The following is a 24,086-nucleotide window of genomic DNA, read 5'->3' as shown; positions in this document are numbered from 1 at the left end:
TCTTAGTTCTCTGAGAATTGCACACATTTTAGAAGAAAAAAATATCCTTGACTTGAGAGCAGTGCTTCTCATGTAAATGCTGCCTAGAAGTAATTCTGGCCTGTATTACAAGCTGATGGCCAAGGTTTTCACCCTGAAGCTGCAGGGTGAAGGGTAGAGAGAAACATAATTTACACCCCTCACACACTGTTGCACCATGCACTGTACTTTGAACATGTAGCTCTCTAATCTTCTAAATTACCCTGCAATTAAGGGAAGGGAAGTGATATTTATTTTACTACGTACTCTGCTTTGTGCTAGGCACATTGACCATCTAATCTGTTTGCAATTCTAAGGACTGGACATTTGTGTGTGTGTGTGTGTGTGTGTGTGTCTGAGTGTGATCATTTATTTTATAGATGAAGAAAGTGAGGGTTGAGGATTGACTAAGTAAACTACAGATCCAGGGTTTAAACCCAACTCTACCCATACCGAAACTTACACTCTTTTGACTTCATTACAATGTCACTGTAAATAAAGAACAAGCAAAGACTTTTAGAAGTGTGGACTGCTCTTCCATAGTTCCTAGATCCATGGGATTGCTCAGCTTAGGGGTCTAGGAGCAGTCTAGTATGGCAGCTAAAACTGTGGACTCTGAGTCAATCCAACTGTGTTTATAATAATTCCTGCCTCAACTGGGAGTTATAATCAAATCCTTTAACCTGTCAGAGCCTCAGTTTCCTCAGCTGTAAAATGGGAATAGCAATAGTATTGCTCTTATAGGAATAATGTGAGGAATCATGGGACATCAGCTTAAACGTTTTAGTGTAGTGTCAGATACAAAACAAGAGCCCAGCAAATGCTAATAATTGTTAATAATGTTAGTATGATTAGAGTCAAGCTCCTTTCACTGAAAGGGATAGACATCACTCAATTCAGATCACATGATTAGGGCGGGGTTGCTGCAGAGCTGTGGGGAGCAGCCTGGAAGGTTGGACCTCGAGGTTCCTTTGCCCATCTCCCTGGGGTGCATGTCATCCTCACATCTGCATCTCTCAGATCTGGGTCACCCTTCTCTTGACCAGTGTCCTCTGTTTACTCCCCTTGCTCTATATCCAATAAGGCTGCCTAAGGCCTGAGTCTACGTACCATGTTATCCTCAGTACCTGCTATCAATTACGGATCGATTTCCAGGATGTAATTTAAAATTAATGAGAGCATCTGATTAGTCGAAGACCAGCCAATACATCGACATCTTCAGTCTGGGGTTTGCTGCTGTGTTGGATGAGGTTTACTCTCTGCTCTAGGGACTGGCTCCCCATGAAAGGGCTAAGGGTGAGGTGAGAAGTAAAGTATCTAGCACAGATATATGAATTATTTCTTTCAGTGTGTTCTGGAATCTTCTATTTTCTTTTTTCCTGTCCTTCAACCTATTCCTCACTTTAACAATTAATTGGCTTATTGAAAGATAAGAATTTGAGGTAGTATCTAAGGTATGAAAACCATTTCCCCAGAAATGATGACAAGCAGAGAGGGTATTTGCATATGTTTGGGCTTTTACTAGAAGGACTGACCTGTGCTTTAAGGCTTAAGTGACTTCGTTGGAACATTAGACTCTGTACATTGTCTGGGCAGACCTCATAGGTGATTCTTGGTTTCTGTCTGTCTCTTAAGACTTTAGACATAATTGCTGATATTTTTCATTAAAGAAGAATTTTCTTGGAGAAAATTACTTTCTTATCGTTTTGCCTTTTTCATTACCTGAAGGTCATTGGCACATTCTGAATCCTGAATTTTGTCTTTCAGTTTCAGGACCTAATTCCCTGATTGAGATTAGAGGGTAGAGCATTAGAGAATAAACTATGGGAGGTTAGCTGATATTTCCAAAATTCAGGAGTGACCGATTAAGGAGCTCCAGTTTTTTATCTTAAAGGAAAGGAGCCAGCCATGTGGCTAATCCTAAATCTTAAACTAGGATTTTCTATTTCCTTCTATACCCACTAGGCTATGTTGAAATGGCAGCAGCAATTTTGATCTTTAGAATTCTGCTACTAAAGGACATTTGAATCTCTGAAGCCCCAGAAATTATGTTTAGTTATGCTTAGATTCAGCATCATCATTAAGAACTTGGGCTTTGAAGTTGGAATTTCTGGGATTGCATTTTCACTCCACAGTTTATCAGCTCTGTGACTTTGGGGAAGTAGCCCATCATTTCTATATCTCATTTTTCTCATGTTTAACATGAGGATGATAATGTGTCCATGGTAAGTGATAACATGTGCCAGTTTAGTTTTGATTTGTACACTGACCCATGCCTGGCATGCAGTGAGTTCTCAGTAACCATTAACTGAGGTTTGTACTATTATGAACGTCATTCAGCACAGCTCTGGGGAGTTTCTACTCCTATTGAAAAATTGTTTATTATAGTACACAATTTCACATCTGTGGCTTTGAATAGAGATGACACCATTCGCCCTGTCCCCTGCCACCATTAAAGGCACAAACCTGTTTCCAGCCACAGACTTCACTGAGTGCTGTGGCCTCTGAGAAACTTCCTTCAGATGTAAGGAAAATGTCTTCCTGTGCCTACTGCCTAGTGTGTTTGTTGCTTTGTGAAAATAAGAGATAAGGAGTTTTTTCTCCATGGAGCTTTGACTGTTAATTTTAAGCTCACCCATACCAACCTTATTAATACACATAGCTGATTTACTTTGTTCTTTCTTTTTTTAAGTCTGTGCATTCCCTGTTTGTTTTTCATTAGCTGTCTTAGTCCATGTTGCTATAAAGGAATAGCTGAGGCTGGGTAATTTATTAAAAAAAGAGGTTTATTTGGCTCACAGTTTTGCAGGCTGTGCAAGAAGCATGGTGCCGGCATCTGATGAGGGCCTTGGGCTGCTTCCACTCACAGGCAGAAGGTGAAGGGGAGTCAGCGTATGCAGAGATTACATGACAAAAGAGGAAGCAAGAGAGAGAATGAGGAGTTGCCAGGCTCTTTTTAACAACCAGCTCACATAAGAACTTAACAGAGTGAGAACTTCTGAACCCCCTCCCAGAGAGGGCCTTAGTCTATTCAGGAGTGATCCATCCCCATGACTCAAGACACCTTTCACTAGGCCCACCTCCCAACACTGGCACAATGGGGATTAAATTTAACATGTGATTTAGAGGGGTCAAGCTTCCAAACTATTGCATTAACCTTTAATAAATTAGCTTACATTTACAGAATGTTTGCTACAAATTAGCCACTGAGGTAAGGATGCTTTAGGCTTTATCTCATTTAATTCTCTCCAGAGAACTGTGAGGAAGGTGTTAGTATTGTCCTTCTTTGCAAATGCAGAAACTGAAGCTCAGAGAGATTAAATATCTGGCTGATCTGGAACTTGGTCATAGTCAAATACTCACGTCTTTGCCCCTTTCCATACTCCCTGTTAATAGTACACATATGCCTGCTGTAAACCTTCCCAACCTTTTAGGAAAGAGGTGGCTTTATGTACTTTTCACCAAAATAACAGCACAGTCATTTGATTTTACTGCCACTTCTACTTTCCATCTTTCTGTTCCTCTACATTCCTGCTTCTCCTCCATGTTCGTCCTTTCTCCTGCTCTTTGTTTCTTGGAGGAAGTCTACAATGACACATGACAAAAAGAGGCAGAGCCCCCACTGCCCTGAGTATGTGCCATCCCTGCTAGTTGTCATCTGACCTCCTGGCACCAGTTGCTGTGTCCACCACCTCTCACTTCTCCAAAGAAATGCTCATCAGTTCTCCCAGAAATATTTTAGTTGACCAAGGAAATGGTAATAACATTATCATGGCACAGGTATTGGTGAAAATGTGGAAAGAGCCAAAAACCAGAGAGAGATTTAAAGCTGGAATTTTAGTTTTCCAGGTTTGAGGGCCAGACTGACTGTCACATAGATCAAAGTTTGATCCAGTGATTTTTCAGTTATTTGGCCTTGGTCAAAATTCTTTACCTGAGTGATGGGAATGTCAGCAATGCCTGCCTGGAAGCCTTGAGGGGCGCCAATAAGATGATTATCTGAAGAGGCTGTCACAACTCCACACATGCTATTCCCTCTGCACCCCTTAAATGTTGAGGGGCACTTTCTCTGGGATGCAAACTCCATTATCTTTGTATTATAAAAACTCAGGATATTAACTCAAAGGTGCTGGATAAAGCACAGCACTGGATCACCAACTGTATGCACTTGGTCAAACTGCTTGCCTAGTAAGCTTTAGTTTCTTTGTCTATTATGTGCCTAGAATAGAATATTGCACAACCTACTTATGCAAGGCACTTTAGAAAGCCCCCTTGACATGGTTAAAACGTAGTATTTCTCTTTGGTGTCACCAAGAAATGTATGCAAAAGTTTTTTCTGATACTCTTCATACCATTCCATCTCTCATCCTGTCTCAGATTCCCATCCTGTGTATGTGTGGAAAAGGGGAGACAGGGTGAGTGGAGGTTATTAACTATGAAGTAAGGCTCAGGAATAGGGAGAAGATCTCTCTTTTTTTTTTAAAACACAATTCAATAGTAAATCAAAACTTTGCTGTGCAGAAGCCTTTTAGTTTGATGCAGTGCCACTTGTCTATTTTTGCTTTTGTTGCTTGTGTTTTGGTGTCACATCTGAGAAATCATTGCCAAGACCAATACAAAGGAAACCATCAAAAGTGAAAAGGCAACCTACAGGATGGAAGAAAGTATTTGCAAAATGACATATCTCATAAAAGGCTAATATCCCAAATATATAAGAAATGAACTCCTATGGCTTGATAGCAAAACCCCAAATAACCCTATTTAAAAAGTGGGCAAAGAAATGGAAGAGATATTTATCCAAAGGAGATATACAAATGGCCAATATGTATATAAAAAGGTGCTCGACATCACCAAAAATTAGGGAAATGCAGATCAAAATTACTATGGGGTATAACCTCACATCTCTTAGGATGGCTATTATCAAAACATAGAAGATAACAATTGTTAGTGAGAACATGGAGAAATTGGAACATTTATATGCTGTTGGTGGGAACGTAAAATGCTGAAGCCACTATAGAAAATAGCATGGAAGTTCCTAAAAAAATTAAAAATAAAACTACCATATGATCCAGTAGACCCACTCCTGGGTATATAGCCAAAGGAAATGAAATCTGGATCTTGAAGAGGCATGAGAGCTTCCAAGTTAATTGCAGCACTATTCTCAACAGCCAAGACATAGAAGTAACCTAAATTGTTCATCAATGGATGAAGGGATAAAGAAAATGTGGCATATACAAACAAAGAAATATTATCCAGCCTTTAAAAAGGGAAATTCTACCATTTGCAACAAAATGAATGAATTTTGAGGCCATAATATTATGTAAAATAAGCCAAATGCAAAAGGACAAACACTACATGATTTCACTTATATGAGATATCTAAAAGTCAAACTCAGAAACTGAGTTGATGGTGGCCAGGGAAAGGGAGAGGGGGAAATGTGAAGTTGTTCAATGAGTACAAAATTTCACTTATGCAAGATGAATAAATTCTAGAGATCTGCAGTAAAACATTGTGCCTACGGCCAATAATACTCCATTGTGTGCTTAAAAATTTGATAAGAAGGTAGATCTTATGTTAAGTGTTCTTACCAAAATAAAAACAGAAAAAAACCCTAAAATATTAGCGATTACTTTAAAACATTAAAAAATATCTCCTTGTCAAAATAGCAGTATTGAAGATGTTGCAACAAAGTCAGCATAATAGCTATGCTCTGTCCATGGATCCAGTTTATAGGGTTGTATGAAGATATGAGAATAAAATGAGACCACCTGTGGTACAAAGTGTCACAGCAACTGCGAAATGTTTTTGTTGTAAGCAGTGTGCCTTTGCTTGAAAAATACTGTCATTTGAAACCCACTACCATGCAATATCCTAACCTCTCTAAGTTGACTGGTAAATTGATTCCATACAAGAGGGGTGGCAGGATATGGAGAAAATTAATACGTGCCATATGGAATAAGTCAAAGACAGCTCCTGTGAGGAGGTGAGCCAGGTTTCCCAGGTAGTGATCAACATGGACTAGCAGAGACAAGGGGGTGAAGAGCTCTTGGGGCTGGAGGTGGACCTGGCAAGCCCCGGGCAGGACCTGAGCATCTGATCGTTGTACTCTTCTGCTGCTGGCAGGAGCGCCTTTTGCTTTTTGTGAGAGAATATGAATGAGTTCTATTAGTTCAGCTACGTGGGAAGAGCTCTCATCCTGCGATCAATCTCCACGCTGTCAGCAGGCAACGGGGATGTTTGAAGCAGATGGGCAGCCAGCCCCTCTCTGTCTATCCGCCTCTGCCTTCATAGTCAAGAACCGAAAGACATACCCTTCCACAAATCATCTGCCTGGCCACACCCACATGGAAAAATTGGAGCGTTTTCTCTTTTCATGATTATTTTTTTCAGCCATTCACACTATCATGTTTTGTAAGCACCCTTAGATTTCAGAGAGTAAATCATTAATATCCAATTTGGGAAAGTCAGTGGTATGTAACAGCAGCATTGGCAAAGCAAATGGAAAGTGGAAGGCTATGAGCAGGGTATTAATTATCCTGTGCCGCAGACAGAGTGCAGGCAGGTGTTTACGGGTTCCATCCAGCCAGCTGCCATGGCTGTGCTGGCTGTAATCAGGGAGATTCATGCCTGTGGGGCACATCTTCGCGTTCTCCGCTGAGCAGCCCCCTAACTTTGCATTATGTTTACTGCAAATTCAGAAAAAACCGAGTCTCTCTTGCTTACGCTAGGTGAAGGGGATAGAGTCTTAGAGAACCACATGTCTTCCCCGCGGGCAGGTTTCATTAGAATGACCATTCTGAACATGTCTCAAGCACACACTTATGGGAAAATGAGAACAAACATCACTAAGGAATTCCATCAAATGGATCTGGAATGGCGGTCTCCCCCGCTTACATGGGGATCACTAAATGTATTCTCAATGAATGAATAGTAACCTATATATGAAATGTTGAGAATTTAAAAAATCGACTCTGAGATAATTGGTATCCTCACATCTTTTATCTTCCAGTCTGGACCTGTTGATTCTCAGTGTTTTCCTAATCCTGCTAGGCTCCCTGGCAATTTTTATTCTCATTTCAAACATTTAACAACTGCTATTGTTATTAAAGATGCTTTGTGTGTAGCATTCTTTTGATGTTATTGTGCTGAAAGACCTCTTCCACCACAGTAGGGGTGGGGAGAGGCAAGGCCACAGGGGGCCCTGGGGAAAGATCCTGCTACTCTGCCGTGAGAAGTCTCTTGGGCTTAGGAAGTGGGAGTCATGAAGACCATCCCAGGGATGGTGATGAGGCTGTGTCTTCCTGCTGGCCCTGGGCGGACCTGGCTTTATAGCTGTGTGAGTTGAGGTTGGCCAGTTTTTTTTTTTGCCAGAGACAGGCTGCTGTCCCGGGAGATGGACTTGAGGGTCTGGTACAGGGGTGGCCGGCTCCCATTTTTAAGGGAACCTACTCTCCTTTCAGCCATACCTTCATTAGGCCTGCAAAGGCAAACTCCTATGCAGTGAATAGTTGGGTGAACACCTAGACATGGCATTTATAGCGTTGCTGCACTGCATTACTTGACAGTGGCCTGTGTATTTAGAAAAACAAAACAAGCAAAACAGAACAAAACCTCTCTGGGTTAACAGGATGTACACTCCTAGAATGAGGATCACAGTCTTAAATGAAGCAATATCCACATGTGTAGCTACATGCACACACATCTTTTTTTAATTTATGAATTTACTACTTTTATTAACAGTTGTAAAAATAATCTTATATGAGTGGAATAATTAGTAATTTATTTAACTATAAAGGAATTTTTAAATGTCAGCTAAATACTTCTTCAACACAATACATGTTAGTGCCCAAAATATTTCTACAAAATCATGACAAAAAATTCTGAACGATAGTAATAGGATAGAGTCTCTTTCTATCTTTTTTGACTTGAAAATAAACTTGTTTTTTTCTATTTTTCATTGTAATAAGACATACATAAAATTTAACATCTTAATCATTTTAAGTGTACAGTTCAGTAGCTTGCAACAAAGCTCCAGAAATCTTTATCTTGCGAAGATGAAACTCTGTACCCATTAAACAGCAACCCTTTATTGCCCTCCCCTAGACCCCCTGACAACCACCATTCTGCTTTCTGTGCCTATGGTTTTGACTACTTCAGGTTCCTCATATGAATGGAATTATATAGTATGTGTCTATTTTGCACACACATCTTGTTTCTGTTATCCACTTCAAGAACAAAGTGGTATTTTCTGACTTAACCTGGCATAGGATAAAAAGTATAATATGATTTTATTTCCTTTCTTTCTGTATTTTCTACTCCGTCTCTCCCTTCCCCATCACATTTCTTGAATTTGTTCAAATAGTTTGGGTCTTTAGATTGAGATTATCATTAACACATTTATTTCTTTGTAATAATAATAGCCAACCATATCCAGACACTGGTCTAAGCATTTTATGTTTAATACTCAAAACAAGATTTACTTTTGACTTTCAGCTTTGTAATCCTATTAACAATAATTCTTTGGAATTATTGTTCTACTGATTTTATTCTTCTTGTATGCCGCGACATTCCCAGTTCTGATTTCCTGGTTTCAGTTCAACTTTTGGCCATGTGGAGTGTGCCTATTTTCAGAAAGTATGAGACATACAACAAAGAGATTTGGGACGGCTGAGACTTTCTGTTGTCCTCATATATGAATGGAAGCTCATCAGAATCTTTAGTCTTAAAAATCACGTAGCATTAATTCATTGTTTTAGGATTTTAGGGAAGAAGTCATCATCCAGTCTGGTTTTTGTTCCTTTAAAGTAGTATGTTTTATCTTTAGATGCTCACAATTTTTTCTTTAGTTTTGAAATTAAAAAACAAAAAAGGTCACTAGGATAGTCAGGTGTGGTCATTGTTTTATTATTTTAGCCTTTCATTCAGGGATACCTTTTGATTTTCTGACTCAAGTTAACATTAAACAGGCAGATAGTTGGCATTTTCCCACATGAGTATAAAGGAGGGAGAGAGGTAAAAGAGATGAAGACCCTGTCAGGGAGTAGTTATAATCATGAACTATGGGAACCAAGTTGGGCCAAGCAGATAGTGAGACAGAGGGTGGGGGTAATGGATAATGCCACAGTGGAGGGAGTCACTGGTTAGAGGCCTTGATGAGGATAAACAATTTCTTCACTGGGAATGCTAAAGTGAAGAACTGGAAGACATGAAGGACTGCTGAGAGAGTGGAATACCTGAAATTGAGATTGTGTCATGGTCCTGTTTTATGCTTCTGGGATGGTGGGGGTGGAGATGGGATGGAGTAGGGGATGGTGTGGAGGTCGAGGAACCAATAGGCTAGATGGGATCTGGGATATGTTATCCATTCGGATGTTAGATTCATCACGAGGATGTTGAGAGTAGAGGTGGAGAGATACATTATGATTCTGGCAGTCTAGAAGGAGTGCAGGGTGTGACTGGGAGATCAGGAAACAATATGCTTGGGAGAGGTGGACAGCTGCAGGGCATGGCCTCTAAGCAGGGTGGAGAGGAGACTATTTGGAAGCACAGTGGAGGGTGCGGCGAGGAGGACACCTACTCCTGTCTCACTGGGAGAGGTGAGAGGAAAAGCCAACAGCCTCAGCTTGACAAGGCTTCAGGTGAGGCAGTGGCCCCAGGGCACAGCTGGGTTAAACAAGAGGAAGAGGAAGTTTATGGGGGAGGGGATCTTTCTGGCTATAGTTCATGTGCTCCAGAGAGTATAGTTCAAGGGTGGGGTGGGCCAGAGTTGCAGATGTTAAGACCAATATAAGGGTGATGACCTGGGAGGTGTTAGATGATCAAGAAAGTGAGATTTTGAGTAGTCACAGAGGTAAACAGGGGCAAAAAGGAGGCAGGGCGGGTTTCATGGATGCATGACCTGTGCAAATCACACAAGTCTCCGTGATTAGAAGGGCTCCATGCTTGGTTTAATGCTCTGCTGTTACCTTTTTACAATTCTTAATGTTTTTTGAATAAGGAGCTCTGTATTGTCATTTTTCTCTGGGCCCCATGAATGATAATTTGGTTCTGGGAAAGGGTTTAGTTGTGACTGTCCTTCGAAGGGGAGTGCAGTCCCCACACTGGCTGATTGCTTGGGGTTTCCCAGGTCTCTGTCCCTGCTCAGCAATGCTGGTGCAACCTATTTTTGTCAATCAACTGTCCTAAGAACCAGCCTCACTTCCTTCCCACGCATCTCCCAGTTAAGAGTATTTGAGGGCGTCTTTTATTCTCTCTGTGGCTAATTGGTGGAAAGGAATGGGGCATATCAGTCTTTCTTCAATTCAGACTGTTCTATAAGATATCTTATAGAAGTTCCTAAAAGTTTCTAACATGAGAATGTCCCTATTTCTTTGTTTCCACCAGTGATAATAGGTTCTCCTCTAATATTATATATACTTTGGCCACTTAATGAGGACTGGGGGCAACAAGGAAGAAGAACTATAGTTATATCTGATCAAACTGCCACTATAAGAGAAGATTTTTATTTCTGTCTCTCCTTTTAAATGGGATAACTCTTTTTAACAAATCAGGGCATATATCCTTGTCTTCCAAGTCCTTTTTGCTTTGAGAGACATTTGTGTCATTAGACATAGCAGATAGCTGAGTATATTACTTAATTTTGGTAAGTTGCCAGTGCTTATTGCTACCCAACTATTAATGCAAGGATACAGAACTATTGACTACATGAAAATCAATTCAGGGTTGACCTAGTAGCAACTTATGTAGTATCAATAGTTTACTTCCTCCTGAAAAGAAATTACTTTGTCTTTCTTTTCATTTTTTTCTTTATAACCTCTATTGACCACACACTCTTCCAAACACCAACATCATCCATCTATTGCTGTATTTCACATTAAGTGTGTGAGGAAAAAAAAACCTCAACATAGCAGAGATTAGTTTCCGTGCATTCAAAATGAGATCTAAATAAGCAAGACCTATGAGGAAAATGACCTTATTTATCTTGTTCATTCTTCACATTTTATTTCACTTAAGGAAGAAAAAATTCAAATTCTTTTTGCTTTCTGACATGCAGTGTGGCCTGCATAGCCCATGACAGTTATGTATGTGAAGAGGAGGATGTGTGGGGGCTTTTGAATGTCATCAGCTCAGCCAAATACCAAAGCTTTCTGTTTATTTCAGCAGAGAGCGTGGATGCCTAATAAAGATGCTAGCAAAATATTAAACAAATGAGCCTACTATTGGAAGGGAATGGGGGTCAATGGAATTTATTACACATCTACTGTGTGTTAGCTGTCAGCTCGCTGCTTTCATTTGTCATCTCATTGGATAAAATGACAGCCCCATGTAATTTACTTCTCATTTCTTATATAGTCACTCACCAGCTAATGATGTTTTGTCAACTTCATACTGCATATATCAGTGTTTCCATAAGATTATAACACTGTATTTTTACTGTACCTTTTTAATGTTTTGATATGTTTAGATACACAAACACTTACCATTGTGTTACAGTTGTCTCTAGTATTCAATAAGGTAACATTACTATACAGGTTTGTAGCCTAGGAGCAATAGGCTATATACCATAGGCTATATAAATAGGCTATATACCATAGAGCCCAAGTGTGTAGTAGGCTGTACCATCTAGGTTTGTGTAAGTACACTCTGCGATGTTCTCACAGCAACAAAATCACCTAATTACGCATTTCTCAGAATATATTTGTGTTGTTAAGTGACACATGGCTGTGTAAGGAAACAGACACAGAGACACTAGGAATGTTGGTCCAGTGTCACAAATTATGGCCAAGCAGGTCTAGAAATAAAGCATGTGTTTTCTCCAGTTCTCTTATATTATACTCTGGATTCTGATATGTGGGGATTGAAGATCAAGTTCCATGGTGGAAATGGATGTTGAAGCAAGGTTTTTGGAGAGGTCCTCTGGCCATCTGGAGGGAGGTGTGAGCTTGAACACCCATGGGGAGAACACTTGGCATGTTGAAGGACTGCTGTTCAATCCATCCTGCCCTGCTGGTCTTCCCCAATATTTCTCTCCACTCCAGTTCCTATGTGTGTTTAACTTTCAGGCTTTGCTTGTGTTAAATGATGTGTGTCTCTGTGTGTGTGTCGTGGCTGCACAAAAATGAAAATATTTAGTATTTGGCAGATAAACATTTCATCCATGGGCATTAAAATTGTCATTCTCCAGCAGGAGTATGAACCCCAACCTCTGTCTTAACAACCTCTTAGGTTTTTCTTTGTGGATAAATGAGAATATTGAAGGAAAAAATATGTGTGCCTTGACTTTCTTAAAAGCTTGTTTTTTGTCCCCAGCAAATTCTCTTGGCTACTCTACCCTCTTGTCCATCCAGATCTCTAGGTCAGAGGGTTTGAAACCACACTTCTATTGCTGTGATTATCTCCCAGGCAGCCTCCCTCTGACCCAGGTGCACAATGGGGGATGAATCTTGGCATGTTGATGATGGTATTATCTTGCCAGTGGCCTTTTAACTCTGTTAGGCCTGGAATTGGTTAGAGGTCTTAGATTTGTGGGACAATTATAATTTTCTAATAAAACACCTGGCTTCAATACACGTGAGGCAGTTGCCTAATGTGTTGGAAATTCCACTTGCTGTTCAGAAAGGTTATATTTCCACAACATCCATTTTCCCTAACAGCTTAGAATTCTGTTCACCCTAACATTATGGGATATCTACCCACATAAAGGATATAAAACATATTACTTTTGCTGTCTGCACAAACTATCTTCTGAAGTTACAAACTAATGAGCTTCATTCCTTTCTCCCTTCTTTCCCTCCTTTCCTCAATACTAGTGAGCAAAATATTTATGCCAGAGCTAGCAATTCAGAGACTAAGAAGACCCAATGTGACATTAGGTAGGTAATAGGCATATAAAGTACTGATTATAACAAAATAAAAAATTATTACAGGTCAAAGGCATCAGAGAGAGTCCTACAAAAGATGTTCTCTTTGAGTAAAAGCTAGAGAAGTGGATATAAATTTTCCATGCTGAGAGGGCAGGAGAAAGGGCACTTCAGGTAGAAGGGGTCATGTGAAAGGGTTTGGCTTGGCTGGGAAAGAATATACTTGGGGCTCACTATTGCCTAAGAATATGGAGAAGAACAGCAGAAAGTGAGGTGGAAAAAATTGAGGGGCTATTGGAGGCCATAGATCTTAAATGGCATGGAGAGGAGTCTGAATGCTATCCTCTAGGTGATATGAGCCACTGACAGTTTTAAACAAGAGGTTTGCCATACGCAGATTTGTATTTTAGACTAAAACAATGAGGTGTCAATGGTGGATTGAGCTGGATGGGGATGAAAAGGGATATGAGGGCAGGAGAACAGAGCTGAAGCTATTTCGCAGGTCTAGCTAAGCAACTGCATTAGGTAACTGATGATGACAGTAAGGGGAAGCAGTATATTTAGGTGACATTGTGGAGACTGAGGGACAGGACTTGATTACTAATTGAGGTCTGGAGACATGGGAGGAATAAAGCATGAATAATAGTCCCCAATTTCTAGCTTGGACAACTGAGGCAGATGGTAGCACCCTTTAATAAGGGGAGGGAGATAAGAAGAGGAGTGGGTTTGTCCAAGGGATGGTGAGAAGGAGAAGGACATCTTAAGTCTGAGGCACTCCCCTTTTTTTAGCACTGGTAACATTCAATGAAGAACAAATATACCCAAGGGAGAAGCTCGTGGAGTTTTCCCTCCATTTCCACTGACCCTCAAGGCTCACCAGCACACTGCTACATAGAGAGATATGGCATCTTGAGTTCTTCACCTTAACCAATGCAGGCAAAGTTAATCAACAACATTACAGATCCATCAGAGGCAGCAAGGCGGTGTTTGTGGCTCAGGCTGAATGACCAAGGCAAGCCAGAACTTTCTCTAATGCAGTGTGACACTGGTGTCAGGCCAAAGCTTGCTGTTAATAAATTTCAGCATTGCCCCTAAGTCACAATCACACAGTATGCAAAAAAAGCTACCTACAAGCAGCTTCTAAACCCAAGCCGAGTGCTCAGAGCCATTAGGTGAACTCTCTCTTGATGATGATTTGCATTTCTCAGTGCCTGGCATTGCCACCACTGATTAGAGGACTGACAATGTCCTGGCCAAAATGTTCTCTTGGGGAGTCACTCTGCGCCTGTCTGGGTAAATAGATGTGGGGAGCGAGATAGGCAGATATGGGCTGCCTGGCCAAACACAGAAGATATAGCACGGAAACTCTAAAACTTTGTTGAACCAGAACACAGCATGAGGAAGAAACACATTTTCTGCTAATTATAAGCTCTGTTTTATGCAAGGAGCTTATATTGGCCAACTCTTTCAAGAATGCTTAAAGTATGTGCAGAAAGCAGTCCTAGGACTGATAAAATGCCCTGTGTTGTGTTCAACCACTTCTTGGGGGTCAGAGAATGTGATAGAAAATAGTTATTTTGTGCCCCCTATCTGAAATCATTAAGCAAGTTTCTGGAGGGCCATCCTGTGCTTGGCAGGTCCTGCAGTCTCCCATTGGCAAAATCTGGGGAGGAAGCTGAAAAGAAGAGGCATGAATCATGGGTCAGGCAAGTTCAATCCCCACTCTCTGAAACATGGAGCCCCACCAGCTCCCCATGATCCATGACATCCCTGCCTGTCCTCTGCACTCATAGTTACTAATGAGAAAGGAAGCTTTGCAGTTGACCGGCCCAGGGCCAGCACAACCCATCAAATTTTATCTGTATTCTCTGTGTAAGGAGAAAATTACCAAGCACAAATCCAATTGAAGGAAGGAGCAATTAATGTGGAACATGCACAGCTAAATAAGCTATTTAAATGTATGGCTACAAATTCCCAGGTCTGCCCATTTGGAGGGGGGCCAGCAGCAGAGCCCCCATCAAATGTTCCAGGACTGGCTGCCAAGCAGACAGCTAAGTGCAAAACCCCAGAGAGGAGAGAGGTTGTCAGGAGATGTTTATGACATATCTTTATGAAGAACTTGTGAGGCTCCATGGTGGAGGGCTCCAAAGATGATCCAGGTGGACAGGTAGAATGCTGGAATTTAGGGAAGACTTCATCATTCCCCAGTTCCCCAGATGGAGTTTAATTTGGCCAGAAAGTGTTTACAACAATTTGTAAACTGAACCTGAGCATTAGCTTAGCCCAGCTTGGATTCTTGGTTTTTTGATTGCCTGGGTAGTCTCTGAATAGGCCAGTTATATTCATCCTAAATGTCAGGGGAAGCTAAAACAAAGCAGGCTCAAAAACGTAATGTTCTTTTTTCCTAGAAACCTTTAAGTTCATGTCATATTGCATGATATAGGGATATCATGCTATTTGTAGTGATATTCGACTTTGAGTAAAAGTTGGAAGGAGACTAGGAAATTGGCTGTCTTAGACTAGCGGAGACCACAATCACAACTGCTGACTTGGAAATTTTCCTAGATACATGAGATAAAGTAAATAGTTTTATCAGCTTCTTTCAGGAAATCCCTTGAAGTTCATGAATTTTGCTTCCTTTATTCTAGACTAAGAATCTGTCATGTTATTAGAGGGCACAATTTTTCAGATCATGGCTTTTCAGATTATTCAAAATCAAGGAATCTCTGTATTAAAAAATTATTCAAAATATAGAAAATCTGATGATCCATTTCATGAAGTTGTCCTCTTTGATTCCTCACACAGCCCTGGATTCATCTGAGGAATAAACACACTGTTATAGAATTAGTACAAAATTATCATTAATAAAAGAAAACCCTGATTTGGAAATATTGCCTCACAATCTCCACATATGAAAAAGAAAATTTAAAAAAAAACTTAAAAAAAACCCAACAAAACTCCTGCCAGCTGTTTCTTATCTTTGTTTGGGAATCCTTTCCAGAAGTTTTTAGAGAGTAAAATGCATTGGAATGGAAGTCAAGAGGCTTTATCATTAACGTACAACCTTGGGCAAATCACTTAAGCTCCGGGCTTCCCTTCCCTCATCTGTGTAATGAGGTTTGATGGAGTGACCTCTAAGGGATGGTTTTCATCGCCTGACTATCTCTTACCAAATGTAACTACTGAAGGCTTAAACCTTGCTACTCAGGTGCTCATGGTGTGTCCTGGGACCAGCATCATCTGTGTCACTTCCCGGTGCTTGTGCAAAATGCAGTATCTCAGCCTGCATCCCAGACTTACTGAATCAGAATCTACACATTAAGAAGACCTCAGGTGATTTATATACACAGGAATATTGAGAAGCACTGATCTACAAGCTGAAGTCTCCTTTCTTTTGCACCCAGTGTTTTTGTTTGTCTCTACCAGCCTCCTTATCCTTTGCTGTGTTACTCTGGTACAGGCTCTGAGAACTGCTTCCAGCATTCTTGTTTCAAGGGCAGACATTACCAGATAATTATCCTATGATTATATGGTAGTTGATTTTCAGTTTTCAAGGTCAGGATTATGTAGAATAAATATAGTGCAAACACAACATTAGAGTTTTTAACCTTTTTTTATTCTACTGAAAGAGAAAATCATTTTCTCCTGAGCTTGCTGAGCCAGCTCTCTGCACAAACAGAGGCCCTCTCCTGTTATCAGTCATTGCTGGAAATGGGAGAGGAGGCTGCTGGACCACAATGGGTTTGGCTGCCATCAGAAATGGGACCTCAATTAGCCTGAGGACAGCACTCTTTTGCGTAATGAGTTCAGATTGATATCAGGAATAATTTGTATAGGATGGGAAAAAAGAGGAGGAGGCCCAGGACCAAGAGGGGTTGGGACCGTAAGAGAACACTTGTTTTGGATGAGCGACTTTGCCGTATTCACAGAGTACGATAGCCAGACTGTCTAGGAAGACAGCTCTAAAATTGTGAGGCTTCCCACCTTATATCAGAGATCAGCAAACTATGGCTCTGCCAGCTGCCTGTTTTTGTAATAAAGCTTAATCGGATCACAGCCTTCCTCGTTCATTTACACATTGTCTATAGCTGTGTTCATTCCAACAGAGACCATATAGCTGCAACACCTACAATATTTACTATCTGGTCCTTAACAGAAGAAATTTTCTGACACCTGCCCCATAACCATTTTTATTCCTGAGTTTTAAATATTGTGGGGGGAGGGATCATGAGGGATTCCAGTTAAGATCAACAATTTTGATGAAACCTACCCTGCTGTACTGCACACTTTGTTCCTGAACAATAGTTGAGAAGCCCCACGGGCTTAAGGCCTCGGTAAAATGGCCTGCTGTTCTGATGAAATATCTAGCAATCCATCCTTCAAACACATTGAGCTTCTTCAGTCACACCTTACAGCCACCGCAGAACTTCATTTTTTGGTAACAATGCAGCATACAGCCATTTTCCCCCTCTGGTCTCTCCAGGTATACCCAATTACTGCTTTCTGAAGTTTAGGTATTCTTTGGTTACCTTGCTTACATTTGGCACAAGTCTAACTTCTACTTTCTGGCTTCTGGGCACTGTGTACCCAGCAGAGGTAGGGACATGGTGGTGGTTAGGGGGTGGGAGGTGAGCCTTGGAGCATCACCAGGTCCTATGGTCTGAAGGTTTGTGTCTCCCCAAATGCATATCCCCAAGGTAACAATGTTAGGAGGCGGGGCCTTTTGGGAGGTGATGAGGTTATGTGCATAAGTGCATGAATGAGATCACTGCATTTATAAAGAATGCCTGAAGGAACTTCTTTGCCTCTCTCACCATGTGAGGATGCAGCAAGAAGCCACAGTTTATGAGCAACAGACCCTCACCAGACACTGAATCTGTTGGCACCTTGATCTTGGACTACCCAGTCTCTAGATTGTGGGAAATTAATTTCTGTTGTTTATAAGCCACCCAGTTTATGGTGCTTTGCTATAGCAGCCCAAACGAACTAAGACATCAGGGAATCATGGAAAACAGCACTGCTGTGTGTCCTTCTGAATCACTTTGAGGTCACTCAGATCATAAGCCCAGAGCTCAGACCTCCTGTGGATTGTGTACACGGCTCTAATTGCAGACAGTTTGTGTCGATAAGAAGTCCTCGCTTTCCACTAAGGCTGCAAGAAACATTTAATATTTTAAGTAGAGAAAGAGCATCAAAATGGCACTAAAGGGAACTACAAAACTCTCTTTTTTTCTTTTTCTTTTTAAATTTAGAAGATAAAATATACAGTAGGTCTTTGAAATTCTAATTGTCAAAATTCCAGGGGATGTTACCTTGTTATGGTTTTATTAAAGTCAATTAAAAAATTGAAATTCTGTTACAGATATTTCTAGCTTTTTGGTTTAGACATTTTGATGTGAGCACTGGAAAAGATTAGGTGATCCCTCCTCTTTCTTTATGAAGAGCAGAGGGGGAAAGTGTTAAGACGACAACCTGGAGGAGACCGTGGATGGCAGGAATTATTTTCAATATTTCACTTTGCTGACTCCTGAATCTCAAAAGCCTTTAATATGCCATTGCCACAGTGTGAGGCAATTAAGAGTAGAAAGCAACCTTTCAATCATGGCTTGGGAAATTCCAGGTTGTACAGAGGCATTGAGTGGCTAAATGCCAGTAATTATATTATGATAAGCCTCCAGATTCAGATTCTCTAGGTCAAAAACAACAAAACTCTGATTAGTGCCAGGGACAAAGTCAAAGCAAAGTTAACTTAAATACAGTTGGCCTTCTTTTTGGGGGGCTCTACATCCACAGATAAAACCAACCGTGGGTCAGAAATATTCAAAAAATAAAAATTATGCTATTCTGAACTTGTACAGATTTTTTTCTTGTCATTCTTTTCTTTTTTTTTTTTGAGACGGAGTCTTGCTCTGTGGCCCAGGCGGGAGTGCAGTGGCGCTCACTGCAAGCTCACTCTCGGCTCACTGCAAGCTCCGCCTCCCGGGCTCACGCCATTCTCCTGCCTCAGCCTCCCAAGTAGCTGGGACTACAGGCGCCCGCCATCACGCCCGGCTAATTTTTTTGTATTTTTTTTTAGTAGAGACGGGGTTTCACCATGTTAGCCAGGATGGTCTCGATCTCCTGACCTCGTGATCTGCCCGCCTTGGCCTCCCAAAGTGCTGGGATTACAGGCATGAGCCACCGTGCCTGTCCAAATGTGGGACCTTCTAAGTGTGAGGCCCTCTGTGATGACACAGTTTGCACGCCCATGAGGCCAGTCCTGGCGGTGTCCCAATAAAATCTTATTTTCTCAAATAAGTGAAGAAATGGATTCAACCCAGAGGCATATTTGCTGACCCCTGCTATACAGGATCAAATAATAGCAAGTATCTTTGATTGAAAAAGAGGATTCTGAATAGATATATGCCTACAATTCTACTTCAGCCATGCTTCAATTTTCTCACATTTATATGCCATGGCTCAAAGTCCATATACTGGTCTTTGATTTAGAATAGTCCCTTAGGGAAGGGTGGTCCTGGCCCTAGAGGTTAGCAGACCAACAGCAATAGGCTCTTTTCTAAGTATTCCCAATGCTGCTCTGTATTAGGGACAGGACTAATTGGATAGATGTATATATGAAGGGGAGTTTATTAAGGAGTGTGGACTTACATGATAACAAGGTGAAGTCTCACAATTGGCCATCTGCAAGCTGAGGAGCAAGAAAGCCAGTCTGAGTCCCAAAACCTCAAAAGTAGGGAAGCTGACAGTCTGGCCTTCAATCTGTGGGTCTGTGGCTGCAACCTGAGAGCCCCTGGCAAACCACTGGTGTAAGTCCAAGAGTCCAGAAGCTTAAGAACTTGGGAGTCTGATGTTTGAGGACAGGATGCATCCAGCGCAGGAGAAAGATGAGGGCTGGAAGACTTAGCCAGTCTAGTCCTTCCATTATCTTCTGTCTGCTTTATTCTAGCCTTGCTGGCAGTTGATTAGATGGTGCCCACCCAGACTGAGGGTGGGTCTTCCTCTTCCACTTCACTGACTCAAATGTTAATCTTCTTTGGCAACACCTTCACAGACACACCAAGGACCAATATGTTGCATCCTTCAATCTAATCAAGTTGACACTCAATATTAACCATCACATGTTCCTACCTGGTTGCTTCTGGGAAGACGAAAGAAGCCTTTTTGTTTTTGTTCATTTTTACTCCAGGTAACTTTGTGTTGACTTTCCCTGGAAGTGTCCTTGACTTCTGAAACACCCTCAAAGACCACTTTTGAAATAAACACACAATGATCTTTTCAGAAGCCTGCCAGCCTTTGATTAGCTCTTGCTTACTTTCTAAGAACATGTCTTGTCACTTTTGAGTTTTCAGGGAGGCCTTTGTAGTGTCTGGAATATTATTTTTTGTATGTGTTTCACTTCCCCAAATCAGGACTGGGCTCCTGGTGAGTCCCTGAGCTGGGCCTGCTGGTTTCCGTCTCAGCCTGCTTTGTTCTCTCCAGCAGGAGAGACCTCAGCCCTTTCTGATGCTGATCTTTCTCCAAGTGGCTGCAGAATTTTAAAAACTCCATGGTGACATTAGTAAGGCTACTACCTGGAGAAATGATTTGGTCTGTATAATTGGAAAGAACACCTGATGCTTATTCGCATTGCCTATCTTTGGGATTTGCTTTTATATTTGAGGCAAGACATGGATTCCTCTGATGGATTCAATGTGATATGGGAACATTGAACAAAAACATGTGCTAATGGGAAGCTCCAAGGTACACAGCTTCTGCGAGGCACATAGTTGTTAAGTAGAGTTCATACCAGGCCTGGGTTGATCTATCCACGCCTGGGAGAATGACCTCCAACTTGTCTCCTCAGCCTGATTCTCTTAGAAACTATAGATTCAGGGTAAATTTCGAATGTTATATCTGCTTTGTCTGCAGTGGGGAACTGTGCTTGGCTTGGGGAGCTATGAGCTGGCCAGCTCACATCTGTGCGACTAGAAAGTTTCGTGAGAAACAGCATGCAGCCCTTTTGCATCAAGGTCACTCCCACACAGCTTGGTCCTTGTCCAGGACAGTGGCACCTGTGCCATGCCAGTGAGGAGGTAAAGGTAGTTGCTCAGCCTCCTGATGAGTTGAGTACTTGCCACATCTCTTGTCTGGTGTCCTTGAATTACCCTGTCAGTCTAGCATTAGATTAAAGCCTATTGTGTCTCCTAGGTCTGATAGCCAACCTGAACTTATAATAACCACTGTGGTGGTAGAATTAACACTGACCACCTTTAGAACTAGCAGAGCATTCTGGTTAAGCACTTGAACTTTGAGTTTGATGACCTGAGTTTGAAAACTGACTCCATCACTTACTTGCTCTATCTCATTGGAGAGGTTATTTTACTTTTGACCCAGTCTCCTCATTTGTAAACTGGGAGTGGATAGAAGGGGTTAATAGATGATGGATCATAGAGCAATGACTAGCACAGAATGGGGTAGATGGAGCTGCTTAGTGAGTATAAGTTACTACAGTTATTACTGAGAATAGCCTGTTTCATATGTGAGGTTTCTTGTCAAGATTATCTTCATCATTGTCACATATAAATGAAAGTTTGGATTGATACAATAGTCTTTATTCATTCATTTATCTTAATAAATATCTAATAATAGTATTCTATATATATATTTTTTCTCCTTCCTGGCCTTTGTTTTTATGTATTCTATATTTTCATGCTGATTTCTGTATTATAGTTTTCCTAGAACCCAGTGAATCACTTAATTTTTTCCTTCCATATCTACTGGGGTATCATTGACAAATAAAAATTGTATCCATTTAAGGTGTACAATGTAATGTTGCATTTTAACTTTCAATATCTATTCTTTTTTAATTTCTGGAATTTTTCTCCACTGATACGTTTTGATAATGATTCTATTCCAACTGACATATGATAATTGAAATATTCAAGAATTTAGCAATTCCTCTTAATATTTATCTTTCTTCATTTTCTTTTTTCTCTCATAATTCTTTTTTCTTTTTTTAGAGACAGGGTCTCTCACTGTGTTGCTGAGGCTGCTCTTGAACTCCTGGGCACCAGCAATCCTCCCGTCTTAGCGTCCTGAGTACCTGGGACTATGGTGGCGCACTCCCATGCCTGGCTTAATTTCTTTATTATTCTGTTTGTTTGAGTTGATATTCTATTCTAATAACCTGAACTTCTGCAGCTCTCTTATCACTTCTAATTCTTCTTCTTTTTTTTTTTTTTTTTCAGATGGAGTCTCACTCTGTTGCCCAGGCTGGAGTGCAGTGGCACCATCTCGGCTTACTGCAACCTCCAGCTCACTGCAACCTCCGCCTCCCGGGTTCAAGTGATTCTCCAGCCTCAGCCTCCCGAATAGCTGGGATTACAGGCATGTGTCATCACGCCTGGCTAATTTTTGTATTTTTAGTATAGACAGGGTTTCACCATTTTGGCCAGGCTGATCTCAAACTCCTGACATCAAGTGATCCACCCGCCTCAGCCTCCCAAAGTGCTAGGATTACAGGCATGAGCCACCACACCTGGCCTATCACTTCTAATTCTTATTTGTTCTCCTGGGGAAATAGTTTTTTGTTCTTTTCGTTTTATGGTTGCAAAGCCCCTTTTGGTGATCTAATAATGCATGATCGTGCACAACAACTCTCTTTTTAATCCTGATATTTGATACAAGGTACATTTCAAGTGTTAGGGTCATCTGAGACCCTTTCCTGCCTTTTTAAATCAGAGTTGTTAAACTTTCTGATTAGAATAAGTCTTTTTATTTCTGTTTACTTGTGGTTTTTGGTGGATATTTTCTACATTATCAGGGAAGGGGTGATCAGGATGTTAATGTACGTGCCATTCTCCCTGTTTAGTCAATTGCAGGCTTCCCAACTTTGATGGTGCAATTCCAGCTGTCTGGAAATAATAAGCATATTGGAGGGAGGTTCCTGACAGAGTGCTTCTCCTGAACGTGGGTCTGAGAATCACACCATGTGGAGATGGTCCCACAATTTTTCCAAACTACTCAAACCTTATTAGAAGTAGAAGTTGATCAGTGAGGGTGAAGTATCCTTGCAGGCTCTGGCAGAGGGAGCCAGAGGTTGAACATCAGGCTGGCTGGGGCACCTTACTCATGCAGGGGCTATAAAGGCTATCAGATTATATGCATGATTAACACAAGTGCCTGCAAGACTGCTTTGCTTGATGTGGAGGCAGAAACACTGCAGCACAGCTGCCTGGGTCAGACTGGGAATCCAAGGGAATAGAACCAATATCCAAACGAACACTCAGCAAGAGCACAAAGAAATAGCCCTGAATTCCAGAGGGAACATGCAGTGCCATGACAAGGCACATTTGCAAGTCAATCTGTGAGCTGGGTTAGAGACGTTATTACATTTGTACTCCCTAGACACTCTGGATCCAGCAGGGGTAAATTTTTTCTGGCTGCTGCTTGGAAGCTCTGGGTTTTCCTGCAGCGGACAGCTTCTTGCTCTTTGAGGATTTTTAATTTGAGTACAGACTGGGCTGAGAGTGGAGAGACAGGACTCACTCAGGATTACTCACAGAGGTGAGACAGGTTTCCTTTGAGTTTGTAGGACCACATCATGAGAGGAACAGGGCAGAGGGGATCATGCGCTGCATATTTGCCTTCCTTTCAAGGTGCATGAGGGTGACAGCCACTTTACATTTGTAAGTGATGGGAGGAAAGACATTCACTTTAGAGATGAAAAAGCAGGCTTGCTGAATAGGTTCTCCAACCCTGTGAGCCAGAAGGAGTGGTATCATCAGTGTCCTCTGTCCTTGTTCCACCGGAAAGCTGTAAGTGGTAGCCATGTCAGAAGTCTGACATGATCAAGGGTTAGCACAACTGCATCGTCTGAGTACTTCTTCAACCAAGCAGGCACAGAGCTGGCTGCTAGGATAATGGGAATGGGGATGGAAAGGGATGGCATGGAAGCAGCACTTGGGGACATGTGGGCAGCAATGGGAAAGGCCTGAGAAGCTAGCTTGGCATCCATGCTTAGCTTGTCTTTAAGAAGGGCTAAAGGGACTCAGGATTGTCTGGGGAGGATACTCACAGCCTTCTTCTAGAGTGCACCTAGAAGAGGAAGATGGACACATGGATAGTCATGCCAGGACATAATGGGAGAAGAACTTCTGGACAATAGGCCTGGAAGGTAGAAATAGGAAGAGCAGCAGCAATGAAGTTGTGATCAGCCTTTCTACATCC

The 24,086-nt window shown here is 41.4% G+C and overlaps 1 annotated feature.

The window, feature by feature from the left end:
• Positions 20,088 to 20,638: an enhancer, noted in NCBI's record as "OCT4-NANOG hESC enhancer chr10:85691876-85692426 (GRCh37/hg19 assembly coordinates)". NCBI's record gives its function as "activates a minimal SCP1, AML or CMV promoter by ChIP-STARR-seq in naive H9 embryonic stem cells {active_cell/tissue: H9 hESC(naive)}" and the evidence as "EXISTENCE:reporter gene assay evidence [ECO:0000049][PMID:30033119]".

The sequence above is a fragment of the Homo sapiens genome, chromosome 10 (assembly GCF_000001405.40).
Source record: "Homo sapiens chromosome 10, GRCh38.p14 Primary Assembly".
NCBI lineage: Eukaryota > Metazoa > Chordata > Mammalia > Primates > Hominidae > Homo > Homo sapiens.
The sequence above is the reverse complement of the archived record's forward strand: the minus strand, read 5'-3'. Positions and strand labels throughout refer to the sequence as shown.